At 42.0% G+C, this 18,361-nt stretch overlaps 1 protein-coding gene across 16 annotated transcripts in view, besides 1 other annotated feature; it reads left to right on the forward strand.

The window, feature by feature from the left end:
• The window catches only part of ADAMTSL1 (ADAMTS like 1), a 1,004,318-nt gene that overhangs the window by 865,884 nt on the left and 120,073 nt on the right, over window positions 1-18,361 (forward strand). For all 16 annotated transcript variants that reach the window (XM_011518064.4, XM_017015312.3, XM_011518063.3 and 13 more), the window contains 2 exons: window positions 3,227-3,380; window positions 4,265-5,390. In XM_011518064.4, coding sequence (XP_011516366.1) covers window positions 3,227-3,380; window positions 4,265-5,390 — 1,280 coding nt within the window. The remainder of the gene's footprint in view (window positions 1-3,226; window positions 3,381-4,264; window positions 5,391-18,361) is intronic.
• Window positions 7,107-7,276: an enhancer, noted in NCBI's record as "experimental_107208 CRE fragment used in MPRA reporter constructs". NCBI's record gives its function as "activates a minimal promoter by MPRAs in K562 erythroleukemia cells, with activity observed for the introgressed 9:18779706 variant allele {active_cell/tissue: K562}" and the evidence as "EXISTENCE:reporter gene assay evidence [ECO:0000049][PMID:34662402]".

An 18,361-nucleotide genomic window follows, 5' to 3' on the forward strand; every position in this document is an offset into this window, starting at 1 on the left:
GGTTCAAATCCTGACTCTGCCACTTACTGGCTGTATAACCTTGGGCTAATTATTTAACCTTTTTGGCTTTAGGTTGCTTATCTGTATAATGGAAATATAATAGTATCCATCATGTAGGTGGGAGGATGAAATTAAATATAATTTAATATATATTGCATGTAAAATACTTTGTGCCTACTAAAAGTGAACCCTTATGATTGTCTTCCATTTGGGCTCACTTGTCATGAGAAGGAAAGGAAATGAAAGGAAGCACTCACCATGGCTGGCTGGGCCTGAGGCCACAGCTTAGGTCTCCTACAGGCTCTCCTGGTCTTCCTCAAGAGGAAGTTCTATTTTGGGAACTGGGAGGAGGTAGCCCTTATCCAACGAATGTTACTAGCTTCTGAGCTATCTGGGTTAATGAATGGAGATTCCAAACATTGAGGAGGGGCTGGGAATGGTGGGAAGTAATCACTGAATTGTTGGGATTAAACTCAAACTGGTGCCATATTGAAGTGCTCCTGGAGGTGTTCACAAAGGCTCCACATTGACCCTGTCATCCTTATGACCATTCCCCTGGCCGTCTGGCTGAGATGAGATGTGCATGCCACACCTCCCATGAGACTGCCCTTGGAGAAGGGAAGACCTAAATGATCTATGGGTGTTTTTCATCCTCCACTATCTGGGCTCAATCTCATGGTTACTGCACAGAATCCCATAGAGACAGAATTAAGCCAAAGTTTTAGACATTTCAAATAAAATTACTTACAGATTCTATTCTGGAAGTAAGACCTCTCAAAAGGCCATACTTCTTTTCTCTGAAAGAAACCCTCAATCTCCTGAAAGAGTTTGATATTAAATATTTTTAAATCCTATTTTATGGAAGTTGCTCCTTTCCCCCCAAAAAAAATTCTAAAAGAAAGAATAATTTTAGAGCTAGAAGGAGCTTGAAAGATCCTATAGCCTAATTACTTTGTTAAAAAATTAAGACCACAGAATGCTTTATCAAATCAAATGTTACTATGAAGCCAATAATCTTAAACAGATAAAATTAGAGCTGTTTTGGTTTAAGTTTGAGTAGGGGTCTCAGATCTCCAACGGCTGGGTCTCCTCATCACCTGAGAAGCCCCCGAATCACTTCCTCAACATAGTTATGGAACACAGTTTTAAAATCCCTGCTCTAGCTTAGCTTCCTTATTCCAGAGATATGGAAATTGAAGCTAGAGAAAGAGCTAGACTTGACCAAAGTCATAACCCAGTCTTCTGACCTGAAACTCTGTTTTTATGTTTCTACTTAGCAGCCTTAAAACGACCATGCTCTTTTAAATTTTCAGGCTTCTTACTTCCATCCCACCTGATCCTTGGATTTAGCGCTGTCATTTACAATAAAATAAGGAATGGGTGGAATCTGGAACCCATAATTTTCAGACTATAAAAGCAATGGGTTTGATTCTCACCACTATCCTTTGCATCTTAAATTTCTTTCAGGGTAGCATATATCACAGCACATCACACAGAATAGTGTCACTTCAATATGTTAGCATATAACACTTGAAAATATAAGATCATTTTTTGTTTGTTTTTTAACCATCATTTTTCAAGTTAACGTGGCACACTCCCACAGCCCTCATTCAGGCAAGCCTGGAGATGACAGCCTCCTTCCCCGATGCCCTGCCTCCCATCCATCTCCTGCTTGCATCCCTTCCATACAATGTTGCCAGATTAACCTTCTCAAAACACCTCTTTCATCATGTCACCCCCCTCTTCAGTGGCTTCCCACTGCCTTATGGACCAATTACAAACCTCTTGTCTGAAAATTAAAGGTCTCCAAACTAACCCTCAAGCTCCTGACACTTAGAACTTGAGCCCTCTGTTCTGTCAAACTGTTCTGTCCCATGCCTGCCTTGGGACTCCTACACTGAAATTATTATCTTTTTTCTGGAAATTTCCCTGTCTCCCATCTGATCCCTGTTTCTCTGCACCCACCCAGACTCCAATCATCTTCAAGACCTTGGTGAGGAAATCCCTAGTGTACTATAAGCATTACATTATTGTTACCATTAATTTTATACTACTTTACTTGTCTTCTAATTGTATGTTTTTACCAAATTCTGTAATTACAATTCTATAAACAGCTTTATTGAGGTATAATTTATATATTATAAAATTTGACTTAGTATGTTTTTAAGGTTTATCTGTGTTGTAGCACATATAAGAACTATACTCCTTTTAATGGCTGAATAATATTCCACTGTATAGATATGGCATATTTTGTTTATTCATTCACCAGCTGATAGGTATTGGGTGATTTTCACTTTTGGCAATTATGAATCATACTGCTATGAATGTTTGCACACAAGTCTTTGTGTGGATGTATGTTTTTGTCTCTCTTGGGTAGATACCCAGTAGTAAAATTGCTAGGTCTCATGGTAAATTTACGTTTAACTTTGTAAGAAACTACCAATCTGTTTTCTAAAGAGGCTGTATCATTTTACTTTCCCACCAGTAATGAGTGAAACTGCTAATTTTCCATATCCTCACCAACACTTGTTGTCTTTTTTTTTTATTATTATTATGGCCATTCTAGTGGATATGAAGTTGTATCTCATGGTGGTTTTGACTTATATTTCCCAAATGGACTATTTCATTTTAACAATGCATTTGGGATTTTCCCCTCATTTGAATGACAGCTCTTTGAGATTAGGAACTATTCTTGCACATCTTTTCTTCTTAACATCTAGCACCCTACCTTAGACAAAGTAGATTCATAACTACCTAATGCTTGACACTAAAATATTGTCACTTACTTGTGAAGGAAGGAAAAAGGAATTAGCAATAATTGTCATTTCTATGTATGGCATTTAAAATATATTATCTCACTTAATTCCCAGGCTTGCAAACTAAGCATAAGTGGAAACAGACGAGAGAATTTAAGTAACTTGCCAACTAGTGAAATACTGAGCTGGGATTTAAACACTCCATAACTCTCTAACTCTGAAGCCCAGACTATATATGTAAAATAGATAAAAGGTCTTCAGGAAACCTCAGAGTAGAAAATCTTAGAGTGCAAAATGTCTACAAGATGGGCAGGTCTTCCACATTGTGACCTCATAATTAGTATTTCTATCACAGTGGTTATTGCTTTTCCAAGCAAATTTCTCATATTTTGATGAGTTTGACAGTCTATTAAAAAATTAGCTTCTAGTTCCCAGAATTTATGTGCATTTGGCCTTTCTTTCTCCACCAGTGTTCCACAAGCTGCGGGGAAGGCACCCAGACTCGAAGCGCCATTTGCCGAAAGATGCTGAAAACCGGCCTCTCAACGGTTGTCAATTCCACCCTGTGCCCGCCCCTGCCTTTCTCTTCCTCCATCAGGCCCTGTATGCTGGCAACCTGTGCAAGTAAGTATGTCAGGGCTCTGGGAATGGGGAGATGAAACCCACACAGCAGCAGCTATAGCCACCACGCCGTGGCCTTCCCTAAACTCAAGACCTGTGGGAAATAGTGGGACAGTAGAACCCCATGGAGGGCTGCAGGCAGGAGAGCTCAGCTGGAGACGGAAAAGGAATCTTAATTACACGTGGCCAGGCTAAATTCTCCTCTCCACTGGAAAAACAGTTTGCAGGGGGGTAGAGCAAAGTTCACTTGCTGGCATACAGAGATCTGGAAGCTGGAGGCAGTGTATTACTAATGATGTCTAATGTTATCCACTCTGGGGTTTTAAACGACTCTAAACAGATTTGTTCTGTTTAATATTAATCCCTAGAGCCGCAACACTTCTAGGCTGTCCTTACCATGTCCTTTAGGGCTCTGGTGCCTTGCAGGACCCAGAAGGCAAACATTTAGCGGAAGACATTCTCCTCTCTGTCCTCTGCCTCTTTTTATGACGTTGATTTCTTGTTTAAAAATTATTTTAATGAGAGGAAATGCTTTCCCCCGGGATCCCCCTCCATCTAGAACTCTGCATCTCAGCTTCTAGGAGCAACAAGGCCCAGCAGGGAGACATTGGGTTGCCCACTGCATCTCATTAGTTCTGATTGTGGTGGCAGCTTGATGGTCCACAGCCGGGAATGAGGTCCTCCCGAAAAACACAGGCAGTAAAGGATGGCCCCGGCCAAAATAAACCCCGAAGAATACTTTCTCTCCCGTCCTCCGGCACCTTCGTCTCTCCTTCTCTTCTCCACTCTGGCTCTTTCCTTTGCCCCTCTCTCCTGGCTGCATCTCACTCTGGGTTTTCTCTCTCCCCACCTCTTTCTCTGTCCCTTCGGGTTCGCTCTCCTTCCAGGGCCCGGGCGGCCATCCACGAAGCACAGCCCGCACATCGCGGCCGCCAGGAAGGTCTACATACAGACTCGCAGGCAGAGGAAGCTGCACTTCGTGGTGGGGGGCTTCGCCTACCTGCTCCCCAAGACGGCGGTGGTGCTGCGCTGCCCGGCGCGCAGGGTCCGCAAGCCCCTCATCACCTGGGAGAAGGACGGCCAGCACCTCATCAGCTCGACGCACGTCACGGTGGCCCCCTTCGGCTATCTCAAGATCCACCGCCTCAAGCCCTCGGATGCAGGCGTCTACACCTGCTCAGCGGGCCCGGCCCGGGAGCACTTTGTGATTAAGCTCATCGGAGGCAACCGCAAGCTCGTGGCCCGGCCCTTGAGCCCGAGAAGTGAGGAAGAGGTGCTTGCGGGGAGGAAGGGCGGCCCGAAGGAGGCCCTGCAGACCCACAAACACCAGAACGGGATCTTCTCCAACGGCAGCAAGGCGGAGAAGCGGGGCCTGGCCGCCAACCCGGGGAGCCGCTACGACGACCTCGTCTCCCGGCTGCTGGAGCAGGGCGGCTGGCCCGGAGAGCTGCTGGCCTCGTGGGAGGCGCAGGACTCTGCGGAAAGGAACACGACCTCGGAGGAGGACCCGGGTGCAGAGCAAGTGCTCCTGCACCTGCCCTTCACCATGGTGACCGAGCAGCGGCGCCTGGACGACATCCTGGGGAACCTCTCCCAGCAGCCCGAGGAGCTGCGCGACCTCTACAGCAAGCACCTGGTGGCCCAGCTGGCCCAGGAGATCTTCCGCAGCCACCTGGAGCACCAGGACACGCTCCTGAAGCCCTCGGAGCGCAGGACTTCCCCAGTGACTCTCTCGCCTCATAAACACGTGTCTGGCTTCAGCAGCTCCCTGCGGACCTCCTCCACCGGGGACGCCGGGGGAGGCTCTCGAAGGCCACACCGCAAGCCCACCATCCTGCGCAAGATCTCAGCGGCCCAGCAGCTCTCAGCCTCGGAGGTGGTCACCCACCTGGGGCAGACGGTGGCCCTGGCCAGCGGGACACTGAGTGTTCTTCTGCACTGTGAGGCCATCGGCCACCCAAGGCCTACCATCAGCTGGGCCAGGAATGGAGAAGAAGTTCAGTTCAGTGACAGGTGAGCCTTGTAGCTAACCTGGTCTTGGGAGGGAGGCAAGGGGCCACATCTGGCCCAAGTCACACTACTTACACATTCTTCAAGGTGTTTCCAGGGGTAGGGCTTAGAGCTGGCCTCGGGGACCCCATCATGGGGTGCAGGCCCTCTCTTAGCACTGATAGACTACTGGAGCAAAGACAAGCTATTTCATTTTTCTAAACTGTCTGTTCTCATCTTTATAAGGAAATAGCAACATTGCCTACCCACTCCTATCCCTGTAGGATCCCAAAGATAAATGAGATACTCTCTGGATAGCTTTGAACTTTTGGCAGAAAGACATCATTCCAGGCCAAGGCATTATTATGTTACTACTCTGTAAGATGAACCATGGAAAAGCTTTGACACTGGAACACTGACTCCGTGTGTGTGGTCCCCCAGGGCTGGGCAGAGAATGCAGCCAGCACCTGCTGTTTCCCATGGGTGAGCCCATCGTGTATCTGTGCTGGACAAGGCTGTTTGTTCCAGAAAGCTTTTATTCCCAGTGGGACCTGTGATTGATTATCCTAATATCTCCTGTTGTCTCTGTTTTGATGTATCATTATCAGGATGACAGCATGTATCACTTCCTTGTCTCTCTGGGTCATAGCCATTCATAATGTAGAATCAATAGTGGTAGTAGAATTAATAATATTTTTTACCGCTACCTGTGCCTTACTTTGTACATATTTTGTCTCTTTTAATCTTTACAGGGGCCCTGGCAATGAAGATGGTTGTCATTAATTGATTAGTGACTATCTGCCAGGCAAATGTAAACTCTTTATGTGTTTTATCTCACTGAATAGAAGTGGATACAATTTTTATCCACACCTTATAGAACAGGAAATACATAAAGTTAAGTAATTTACTAAAGGTTGTATTTATTATGTGGCAGAGCTACGATATGCAACAAAAAGAACTTCCTTATGGGTAGTCACTTTAAAGAATCACGGAATCATAGTCCTCTAGTCTAGATTCCTCATTTTAACCTTCTATCTTCTCAGAATCCAAGCATAATGCTCTTTTCATTAAGTCTATATCTAAATGCTATTGTTTGACTAATAGTCTTCTCTGGCTTGCTAGCTTTTGGTAAGGAAGGAAAGAAGCCAGCATTTATTGTTCCAGGCACTATGCCAAGTTTATTTATAAGTAACTGCATTTTTTATTCTAACATTCAATCCACATGATTGACATTATCCTCCAGTTTTACGTAGAAAACCAAGGTTCAGCAGCTCACCCAAGATCACATTTTAGTAAGAGCTGAAACAAGCATTCAATATCAAGTTTATTTGATTCCAAGGAAGAGTTCTGTCTACTCTTCTGAGACTCGGTGAATAGATATATAATAACTTTTGTCCATCCTGCACACATCATTTTTTGCCTTTGTAATGTCAATAATACTGCCTCTCAGCCTTAGTACTTATAGACCAAATACCTTTGATAACAATACTAAGTATTATTTCTTTGTGCTCCAACTGTATGCCAGACATAGTGCTCAGTGCTTTAAAGGCATTATCTTGTTTAATTTTCCCTCAAGATCGTAGGAACTAGTAGGTACTACTGTAGTTACCACATCTTAGATAGAAAGCTGAGGGACAGAGGTTGGACCCACATAGAAACACTGGAAATGGTCTGAACACAGGCAGCATGCCCCAGAGCTTGTGCTTTTAACCTGCCCCTCTGTCCACGCCCTCCAGCCCCCACAACTCATACTTTCCTTAATCAGCTTAACTGCTCTTATCCCTGTCATTTTCTCCAAAAAATCCTTATAACATGGTTGGAAAGATTTCAGTCGAGCCCTTTGAGGTCACTGAGTGGCAGCTCCAGTGTGTGGACCCAGGGTGATGAGGGGTGGCCTGATACTCAGTCCTATCGGTGCACCTGCTGTACCTATTACACCACTATGATGCCCTCTCCTCTACCAGCCAGTCAGTTTATCAAGTGTAGGTACAACGTTTTATTTCTATCCCCTGGGCCTATTGCCTGGGATTGGTACTATTGGGATTGAAGGGAATCACGACTGGCTGCATGAGGGAAAAGATGGAAATTAACATCTTCCTACTTCCTCCTAAAAAGCTGTGGAACGAGACAGGGCAATGGGAAGGGGTCATCAGGACTCTGCTCAGCCTTTGCCTGCAGGGAGAACATTGAGCCCCTGGATTAGAGGTCCTGACAATTTCTTTGAGTGTTGGAGACTTTTTATGAAATCCAAGGCCCATGGCCCATCTAGGTCACCTGGTGACTGCAGGAATGATGTGGAAGGAGGTAGACAAGCATTGAGGGGTCCAATCTGATCTTGCCAAGGCCCTGCACTTTTCACGGTCTTAGTCTCTTCATTTCATAAATGAGGAGACTGTACCATATCATCTGTGACATCCCTCCTACCTCCTTCCCTCATTTACGGAAGGCCACGGAAGGTTAAAACTCATATGCTGATGGGAGAACCTTGACCACAGTAACTTCAGAAGTTGTGGCACAAGTTGTTTCTAAATGCTCCACAAACAGGCTCAGTGATCACAAGAGTTTGAGAAGGGCAAACTTAAGGCTAAACAGATGTATGTACTGCTGGATTTTATGTCTATTTTTTTAATATCACACTTGATTTTTTATTATAAAAGTAATAAAAGGGCTATAAAACAATTCAAATATCTAAATCTATAAAAAGTACAAGCCTCCCTCTTCCCCCCAATGCTCCCAGAGGCTATCATTCTTAATAATTTGGTATACATCCTTTTAGAATGTTTATATATTTTACTGTATTACATAAAAAGCATATATGCACACATAGGATTTGGGTTTTTTAATAGGATATTAGTCATGTTCAGAAATGTGACTGGTTTTTACTTAACAGCATGTCTATGAGATGTTTTCATAATAGTAGGTAGAGGTCTATATTACCTTTTTTAACAGCTGATTACTGTTCCTGAATGCATTTAACTATCCCCCAACTGAAAATTATTTGGGATTTTTCTTTTTATTTTACTCTTTTAAGCATTCCAATGTGTGTTGTGACTTTCCAAGTGGACAATATAGTATGCTGTGGTTTCAAAGTTCTCCTTTAATCACTGAACAATTTTTCGGCTTAGTAATCTCAGGAACACCAATAATTCTTGAAATAGCACTTAGGAAACACACTTTGGCCCTTTTAATTTTTACCTTAATGGGCATTGAGAGTCTAACTCCAATGGCTTTAAGATGGAGAAGGTTCAGTGGAATCTTGATAGAAACAGAGACGTGGCAGCCAGGTGCAAAGAACACTAAAGCACTGGGCCTAGGCAAGCAGAGGGAAAGTCCTGGATTCTCCATCATCCAGGACATCGTTGTGGGGGAGGGTAGCACTAAGAGGGTAAGAGGGAAGATACCTGAGAGGCAGGAACAAACAGTTTTTGCTGCCATCACATTTTTTATTTTTCTGGATCTAGGCTTGACTAAGCTTTTCAATGCACGTTAATGGCATGTGGTAAGGAAAAATAAGACATTTCCCTTTCTGACCTTTGACATCACAATTTTTCCATTTTTGTTGGCTGTTCAATAAGAAATACGGCTGGAGCTTAGTTTTCTCTATCTTTCAAGTTCTGTTTAAGAAAAGAGTGAATGTATCTGCACAGATCATGCAGGAGGCACAGAGCTGCCATTAGGACTGCTTTGCTGTGGGCTGTTGGTGACCTTTCCTGTGTTGGGTTTCATTGCTTGTCATCATTACTATGTCTGGTAGTGGTTCAGAAATGCTCATTTATTTTCAAACAGAAGTGCTGAAATGTCCAGTGTTATAGTTCAGTTAGTCTGTTTTTGCTAAAGGCCCAAATCTACCTTCTGAGCATCTGCAAGATTCAGCTGTGTGTTGGTCTGTGGGACTTTGCAATTTGTTAAAGTATCCTCCAAATAGCATGAGCCAGCAAGATAGGTCCAGGTCAGAAAAAAGTGAGAGAAGTCTGTTATTTCTTTGCTTTTAAATATTCCAAAGTTTGATTTGAAAGAATTTAGTTTTAGAAAAGAATCACTAATAATTCTGATACTACTGTGTCTCATCATTTATATAACTTACTAGTTGAAATTCACATAGTTCTCAGAAATGCATGTCTGTCAACTTCTCAAGCAGTCGTTTACAGGGTGTCCTTAGTGTGTTATGACTGGCTGGTTCATCATAATCCCTACTTCCTTTTTCCTTTATTCTGCAAACAATCTCATGCCTACTCTAAGCCAGACTCTGTGTTAGATACTAGGGATGGAGGAAAAGAAGATTCATTTCCTGTTGATGAAATTCAAAGTCCAGTTTGGGAGCCAGAGGAGTAAATGCAGTATTATAAGTGCTAAGAAAGAGGTATGCATATTTATTCATTGCTTAAGTATTTACTAACCTAACTATAATATGCCAGGTATACATCGACTTGCTGGAAATATTGTGATAAATGAAACTATGTTCCCTTGGAGTTTACATGCATTTGGAGTTCTGCTCAAATGGCACATATTGGAGAGAACTTCCTTGTCCCTGTATCTAAAAGAGCACCGCTCATCATTGTCTATCCTTTTAACTCTATTTAGATAATTTTATTCTCTGATATGTTACATAAATATTTGTTGATTGCCTTTCCGCAAGGCTAAAGACTTTCTTTACGGCTGTATGCCCAGTAACCGGCACCAAACGTACTAAATAATAGTGAATGAATTAACAAATGAATGGAGCAAGGCAACAAACACATAAAAGTAAGCAAGAAAAAGATCAGGTGGTGATAAGTGTCAGGCAGAAAATTAAAACGGGTATAATAAGAGAATGATTTGGTGACCGCTTTAGATGGATGTGCTAAGGAGATCACACATAAGCCAAGATCTATCTGAATGATGACCAGTGCCCAGCACTGTGATGTGAGGAGGAAGAACACTCCTGGACAAGGGAAAGGCAGTGCGAAAACCCTAAAGCGACAATGACTTTGTGTTGAAAGAACTCAAAAGAAGTCCATTTGGCTGTAGTAAGGGAGGCAAAAGGTAGAGGTGGTATGGGATGAGGTTGTGAGGGTAACTGGAGACCAAGGGAAGGGGTTCGGGTTTTACACTGAGTACTACAGGAAGAATTTGGAGGATGTTAAACAGGAAAGTGACATGATCTGATTTGCATTTTGCAGATTCACATGGGCTAACTTGTGGCATGTGGATTGTAGAGGCACATGATTGGAAGTCGGGGGCTAGTAAGGGGCCATTGCAGTAGCCCCTACAACACTATTGATCTTTACTGGGCATTAGATACATTGAGATGATAAATAAGGCAAGAACACTTCTCTCCAGCAACTAAGAAACCTTCAAGTGCTGGTGTAGGATGAAATAATGTAGGACCCCAGTTTGTATTGAACTCCAACTGGTAGAATACTTCTCTTTTAAACTTTTAAAAGTAGATTGAAGAGGGATTCAAAAATCCAACGTGCATAATAATTAACAGGAGCTTGTTAGAATGTAGACTCCCACATCCTCCCCTACCATTAGAAACTCTTTCTACGGTAGGGACCCATAATTTGGAGTTAAACAAGCACCACAGGTGACTCTGAAGCCAGATTCAAGGATCACTTTGAAGAAGCACAGGTTTGCTTTGTCAGCTCTAGATTATCACAACAGCTTCCTAATTCATATTTGTATTCTTTAGACCAGGGGTTGGCAAATTACAGCCAGTGGCTTTAACATCTTTTAAAGGATTATTAAGAATGGCTTTTAAAGAGTTATTAAAAGAGCCAATGAAATTGAGCACAGAGCTGTTAGGTTAACTTGCTCAAGTTCTCACACTTAATAAGTGGTAGAGCTGGGATTTGAAACCAGGCATGTAAAGGGTTATTAAAAGAATGACTTTTACATTTTTAAAAGGTTATTAAAAACAAACAAAAAATTATAATATACAACAAAGACTACAGGTGGCCCTCAAAGCCTAAAATATTTACTATCTGTCCCTTTACAGAGAAGTTTACTGCCTCCTGCTCTAGACCATTCACCATGCTACTGCCAGAGCATCTTTCTAGCAAACCTGTCCATGCTGCTTTCATGCTTAAAAATTCGTTTCATGGCTTGTCATCACTTGAGGATAAAGTCCGGATGCCTTGGCTTTTATCATTTGACATCCAGTTATCTCTCCAGCTTCATCTCTTACCATATCCTTGACCTCATAGAACTGAGCTCTGCTCTTCAGCAGTACACAAATACTTGCTGTTCACAAATGTGCCTGGGGCCTTCTGACCCACTTTGTCTGGCTAACTCCTGCCCTTCCTTACAGGAAGCCTATCCCCAAAGCCAGGTCAGATGACCCCCTCCATCATCCACATAGTACCCTATGCATAATACTCTCTCGGCCTTACCATTGTGTATTAAAATTAGCTGTTAGTTTTTCTGGAGTTTATTAATCATTCTCAAGGGCCTATATTTAAGAATGTGTCTTATTTTCTCCGTAATTCTAAGAACATGATAGACACTCAACAAATAAAAAACTGAATGAATAAATAAAGGAATGAATAGTTGGATGCCCACGATTAGGAGGGAGGTTTTCTTATTGTGAGGAGGCTGCGGTCTGCAAGGTTTTTTATAGTCTGGATTTCCTATGCCATTGTGGAAGAGTTCCAGAGTGATACCTGTTCCTAACCAAACATTTCTGACTTGCCCATATGTTCTCCACTAAAGAAGTTTCAGGAAACCCTGAGATTCTGTGACACAACTGTGCAATTTGAAAAGCACTGCTGTAGTGTGTATAAGTACAGAGTAAATCTCCTATCACATCCCGTCTCCCACCACATCCAGGCCAGTGGAGAAATCATCAGGCTCATCATCACAGGTAACATTTATAGAGCACTTACAATGGGCTTCAGGTGTTCATTTATCCTCACAATAACCCTTTGAAGTTACTATCCCAATTTTACCGATATTGGAGTTGAAGCACGGAGATGTTAGATTAACTCGCTCAAAGTCTCTCACTTAAAAAGTAATCGAGCTGGGGTGAGGCGCGGTGGCTCACGCCTGTAATCCCATCACTTTGGGAGGCCGAGGTGGGCAGATCACGAGGTCAAGAGATCGAGACCATCCTGGCCTACATTGTGAAACCCTGTCTCTACTAAAAATACAAAAATTAGCTGGGCATGGTGGTGCATGCCTATAGTCCCAGCTACTTGGGAGGCTGAGACAGGAGAATCGCTTGAACGCAGGAGGTGGAGGTTGCAGTGAGCTGGTATCGTGCCACTGCATTCTGGCCTGGGTGACACAGTGAGACTCCGTCTAAAAAAAAAAAAACTTAATGGAGCTGGGATTTGAATCCAAGGCAGTCTGGCTTTTGGAACTATTTCTTTTTATTGATTATAACCTTAGTTGAATACAGGGACTTGCCACTGTTTTATAAGAAGGCCACTGGGGTCAACTAGACCCAGCATAAATTAACATTCAATATTCTAGCCAACTGGCTTCCAGCTGATGAGGCTTTTGTTTTTATTTTGGCATAACTGCTTTAAAGATAGCCTTTTCTTCTACTGATAGCGCTACCTTTATATATACACATGTGTATGCAAATATGCACTAAATTAGGCACTCAATAAACATTACAATTGCTACATTTGTGTGTGTCTGTGACTGCACATGTTTACAGTGTTGATGGCTCAGGCACATGTGTGGTTAGAGACCTAGACCACAGGCAATATGAAGCTAAACTGTTCCTCGCTTTCAGTCATTCTATATAAACACTGAGCACACATTTGGAGATGAGACTCAGGCAAAAGCTAACTCCAGTCTGCTTTTGGATAGAGTATAACACCCCTAGCCAAAGAACCTGGTAAATTTTCCTTCTCTACATCTAATACCAGGAGGCTTACGTAATATGGACAAATATATGTTCAGTATTCCTACGTCTAAATCCAGTTCTAGAAACAATACCTGGAAGGGCAGTGCTGACTTCCTTGTAGAAGAGCCAGATTCTCCAAAATTGGCACTGCACATTGGATTACCAAATTAGGAAAAATTACTGGATGAGGATTGATCATTCCCCCAAGAAACACCTACATACTGCTGATAGCACCACACTGTCAGGGAAGGCCTTGCTTACCACTTAACACTATTGAACCAGGAGTAACCCAAAATCACAGATTCCTCATAGCTCAGCTGATTTAAGTCTGTAAGCTTTTAAGTAAGACTTTCTTTTCTTTTCAAAAGGAATGCAAGTGAACTTAAAGAATAATATGAAACTAGATGCTTGAAGAAAATACTTATTTCTTCCTGTGGGTGGGAGGTCACTCCCAGGTGATACTCCTACTAACATGGAATCCTAGGGAAATGGCTAAGTCTAAGGAATTTCAGCCTTTTAATCCCTAAGCCTGTTCCCTGTTTTCCTTCTCTTCTGGGCCTAGGTGTTCCCAGCTTATCCTCCCCAACCCCTTCAGCCAGAGGAGCAACCTGATGGCACATCAGTTAACACAAAGGGCAGCCCACGGTGGTAGGAGACAGTAAGGCTGGAATCAGAGCAACTTTGGCACAAATCCCAGTTCTGCCACTTAGTATTGTGAGTCTACTTTTATCTCTCTGAACCTTGGTTTTCTTATTAGTTAAACTAAAATGATACTAGTACAATTAGGCACTTTGATTCTGCCCTTCGGACTAGCAGAAGTGCAAAGAACAGAAATAATGTCTGTAACGTGCCTGACACACAGTGGATACTCATTTGCCAGTATCCAAAATCATTGTCATTTAGACATGGGGCCATTGTATCACACTGTCTTCCAGGACATCTCAAACTAAGAAGCTTCACTCTTATTTGAGGAACATCTAGGTAGTTGTTCAAAGAGTTGGGTTAGCAAGGTTTCTAGGAAAACAGCGTGATGGAGAATTATCAGCCTAAATCCAGGCATCATGAGGGGATGTTGATATTCTACTGACATTCTTTGCTATCATCTCTGAGCTGATAGGAAAGTGAAATCTGTAGCCTCTAAATGATTATATTTCCCAGAAAGTTTTGTACAGTGTTCCAAAGTGGTGCTGAATAGGAGATGAATTAAGGCATATTTGGAAGTCTTTAACTTGGGCAACTCAGAGTATCAGCAGATGGAAACTTCTCAGAATGGAAGTGAAGATCAGATGGGAAATTCCTCCAGGGTCAATTTCAGAACCATAGTTGTGAATAATTCTCTATGTACAAGTCATAAGCACATGAAATGCAGTTTCCAAGTTTGCAGATAATATAAAAACTAGAGGCAGGGAAGATAGGGAAGGAAAAACAAGCCCATTTCAGTTTGGTTTGGCTTGTTTCCCTTATAGAGCTAAAGGAAATGGAGATGACAAATGTTTTTCCCAGTTGAAAAGTGTAAGAATAGCAAGCCAGAGAAAAAGAACCGTCCCAGTAAATACATAAGCCTCACAAAAGAAAAGTATTGAGTGTCAACACAGTGGTCGCAGAAATGACCATCATGAATCATGCAGGTGAAGAGCACTGGAGGATAGTAGACAACCAGTGGCAAACAGACAGTACTAGTGAGGCTTAGAGTCAGGCACTATCTATTCCCTGAAATGCTAGGGGATCTCCAGAGATCCCCCTAGCAGTTAGTTTACTCTTCCTGGAAGAGTGGTCCTAGCACATGGCAGAGTTCCAGAAAAGTGGTTAACTGTTTTAGTATAAATAAGGATGTCACTGAGATAAACCAGAAATGAAAATTTTTCCATGTTATATGCCAGAAGTCAGCAAACTTTTCTAGTAAAGGGCCAAATAGTAAACATTTTAGGATTTGCAGGCATCAGGAGTAAGGAATGACCTTTGACTGTTCTTAAACTGACTATACTCAACTCTGTCATTATAGTGTGAGAGCAGCCATAGATAATACTTTAATCTATATGCTAGTTTTCCAATAAAACTTTATTTATAAAAGCAAGTGGTAATTGGCTGCAGTTTGAGGACCCCTATCCCTAGTGGATAGGAAATCCAGTCAGTCATTTCATGCAGAGGTTTGTAATTTGAAATGAGTTACCCAGCAAGCAGATAAAATACACATATTAGCAAATTCAAGACTCTATGAACTTCTGAAAGAGAAGGAAGTTAAAGGGTCTGGCAAAAAGAAGAAGACCAGGGTTAAGAATGTGTGGTCAGGTGGCCTTTCCCATTCCTAAAATATTTTCTATACTTCCATCTGAGCAATCATGAAGCTTCTGGCATTAAATAACTTTTAGTTGGCAATTACATTAAAAACAGCAAAGGTTAAAAAAAGTTGCCCTAGCCAAATGGTGATATGAAACTCTTCATGAACCTCAAATCTGTTGCCCAAAATTTTTGTACAAAATAAAATTCTCCCTTGCAAGCCTCTGGGCTACTGTAATTTTTGGTTTCAGAAAAATAATCCTGCTCACGGAGGAGATCTCAGAGCATTCCTTTTGCCTCCCGTTTGAAAGTATCTAAAATCCAGAATATTTTTTAGTGATTGTCTATTTCCCTAAGTAACTACAAACCTTGACGTTAATTACCCCCCCGCCCCGCCCCCGCAACCACCGAAAATGAGGCCAAACCATATGCCTGCCAACTAGGCCCCGGTAGATTCCTGGATGCTGTCAGTTTAAGAACAGTCAAAGGTTATTCCTTACTCCTGATGCCACCATGTACTAGCTGAGCAAATTGCTTCTGTGAACTTTTGCCTGCTCTCTAAAATGGGAAAATAACATCAATCTAGTAACATGGTAGTAAGGATTCAATAATAAAAAGCATATACATTTGCCTATAAATACTAGCACCCGCTCCCGCTTTGTGGTAGATTCCATTATCCTAATCTAAGGAATCCCTAAGCAGAAAAATACCCATTTTAGGATAAGGAAAAGACTTCACCATCTGGTCCTATAAATAGGAATTTGGGGCTAATGTTATTTGCACAAACTTTGCTTACTTGCTCCTGAGTTCACTGTTTTCCAGCTCTAACTCATTTGCTCTTGTTTGTATTCCTTTCTGAAATTGCAGAATTCTGGCTTTTTTTTTTTTAGTGTTCTAAAATTTCAGTATTTGGTTATTGGTGTTAATACAGTTATGGAAATAACTAGTTGTCCTTATTCAGAGATTCCTGAGTCAAGAATAGAATTAAGGTAGTTGCCAACCCAACGTGCTACGTGGCCTCACTTCTTGCTCCTCTTTTCTCCTCCCTGGTCCCATGCACAGCAAACCCTTTGTTCCCTTTCTATACACCCAATTTATGTTTTTTCATTGAAATCTCTACATTTCTCATTTCCCCATGTCTTCACGACATCTAGAATTTATAAGCCCTGGCATGAAGAGTGAATGGTAATGATCATGGCGATGTTAACAACTGTAACAAAATCATAATCACCTACATTTCTGTAGTTTTTTACTACATGCCAGGCACTTTTCTGTGTCCTTTAAATACATTAGCTTATACAGAACTCTCACAACAACCCTAGGTAGGTACTATCATTCTCATTTTATAAATGAGGAAACTGTCACTGAGAAGTTAAGTAAATTACTTGCCCAAGGCTACAGAGCTGCTAAGTGGCAAAGCGGGGATTTGATCCCATCATTAATGGCTCCGGAGTCTGTCCTCTGAACCACTGTCCGCTATGCTATATTGTGGATATGATCATTTTCAGCCCCGTTGCTTTGAAGGTAACCAAATGAGTATTTATTATGTATTTATTTAGTGTGCCAGCACTATGCTGAATACTGAAGAGAGAACTATGAATGAGATAATAATTTATAATCTCACTGAAGAAATGAGACACTGTTGATTGAAAAAGGCTTCGTAGTGGAGTTTTAACAACTAGATCAGGAAACAGACAGATTCTTGTGTAGTATAGCAGCACAAGGAAATAGAACTAGAACTTGTTCTTAAGGGAGGGGGAGGAGGAGGAGCCTGTCTTTAGCCCCAAGCTAATGACAAGGAGAGTCAAAGAGGCCATCTTGACTAGAGTGACAAGTTTGTATTGGGATGTGGGGCAGATAAGTTTGGAAAGAAGAGGAAGCTACTGTTCTACAAAGAAAGGATACACCCACAATTTCTAGCTTCCAGTCCTGTGTTGAGGCCTACAATAGGTTTAGGAAAGCGTACCAGTCAGAATGAGAGGCCTGAGGTGGCACAATAACATATCCCAGGTAGTAGATGGGCATTTCTCTACCCAGAACCTGAATATTTTGTCTGACAACTAGAAATTCCAAGAAGGTTACTTAGGTTATGTGTACCATCAAAAAAAAATCATTTATTAGCTTTATCTGGTGTTTAAACTGAGACCTTTTTACTTGGAAAACAGTAAGAATGAGTCTATATACTCTTCTATGAGATCTTCGCAAGAACACTGTGAGGTCAGTATTAGCCTCAATTTATAGAAGAAACTTAAAGGCTCACACAGTTGAATGACTTGCCTAAGGCCCACCACACGACTCTAGACTGGAGTCCGAGTCTCTTGGTTCCAATTTGGGAAGTCTTCCCCTCCACAAGGCAGCTCCTCATAGCTGGGCATGGAGATCAATTTGAGAAGTAGGTTCACACAAGACAGTGGTGTCACAGTTGAGCCAAAGATCCAGAGGACCCCATGATGCCAACCTACTCACAGAACTTCCAGAGACTTTCCTTTATACACCCGGAGCTGCCTTTGTTTCAAATAAGAGCCCTTAAGCACTACACATTCCAAATGCAGAGGAGATGATTTATCCTGAAAGAGATTATACTTGGTAGAAATGGCCTGTGAGCATTTGGTCCATATCTTATTCTCATGCATGACAAGGATTTTTACTTCTGTACTAAAACAATTTCTTGCACCCTCTCGGCTGGTCCTTAATTTGTAGCATGCTTGTGAAGGCATATTGTCACATAGAAGCTTACAAATAAAGGCCCCCAGAAAAACAAAACCGCTCCTTCATTTTCTGGCTAGAAGTAGGGTCAAAGAAGTAAAGTAATAAATTTTAGGCTAGAAAAATAAAAAGTGTGGTACAGGTCTGGGAGGAAGTCAAGGAGTATTGATATACCTAG

Source organism: Homo sapiens, chromosome 9 (assembly GCF_000001405.40).
Source record: "Homo sapiens chromosome 9, GRCh38.p14 Primary Assembly".
Classification (NCBI taxonomy): domain Eukaryota; kingdom Metazoa; phylum Chordata; class Mammalia; order Primates; family Hominidae; genus Homo; species Homo sapiens.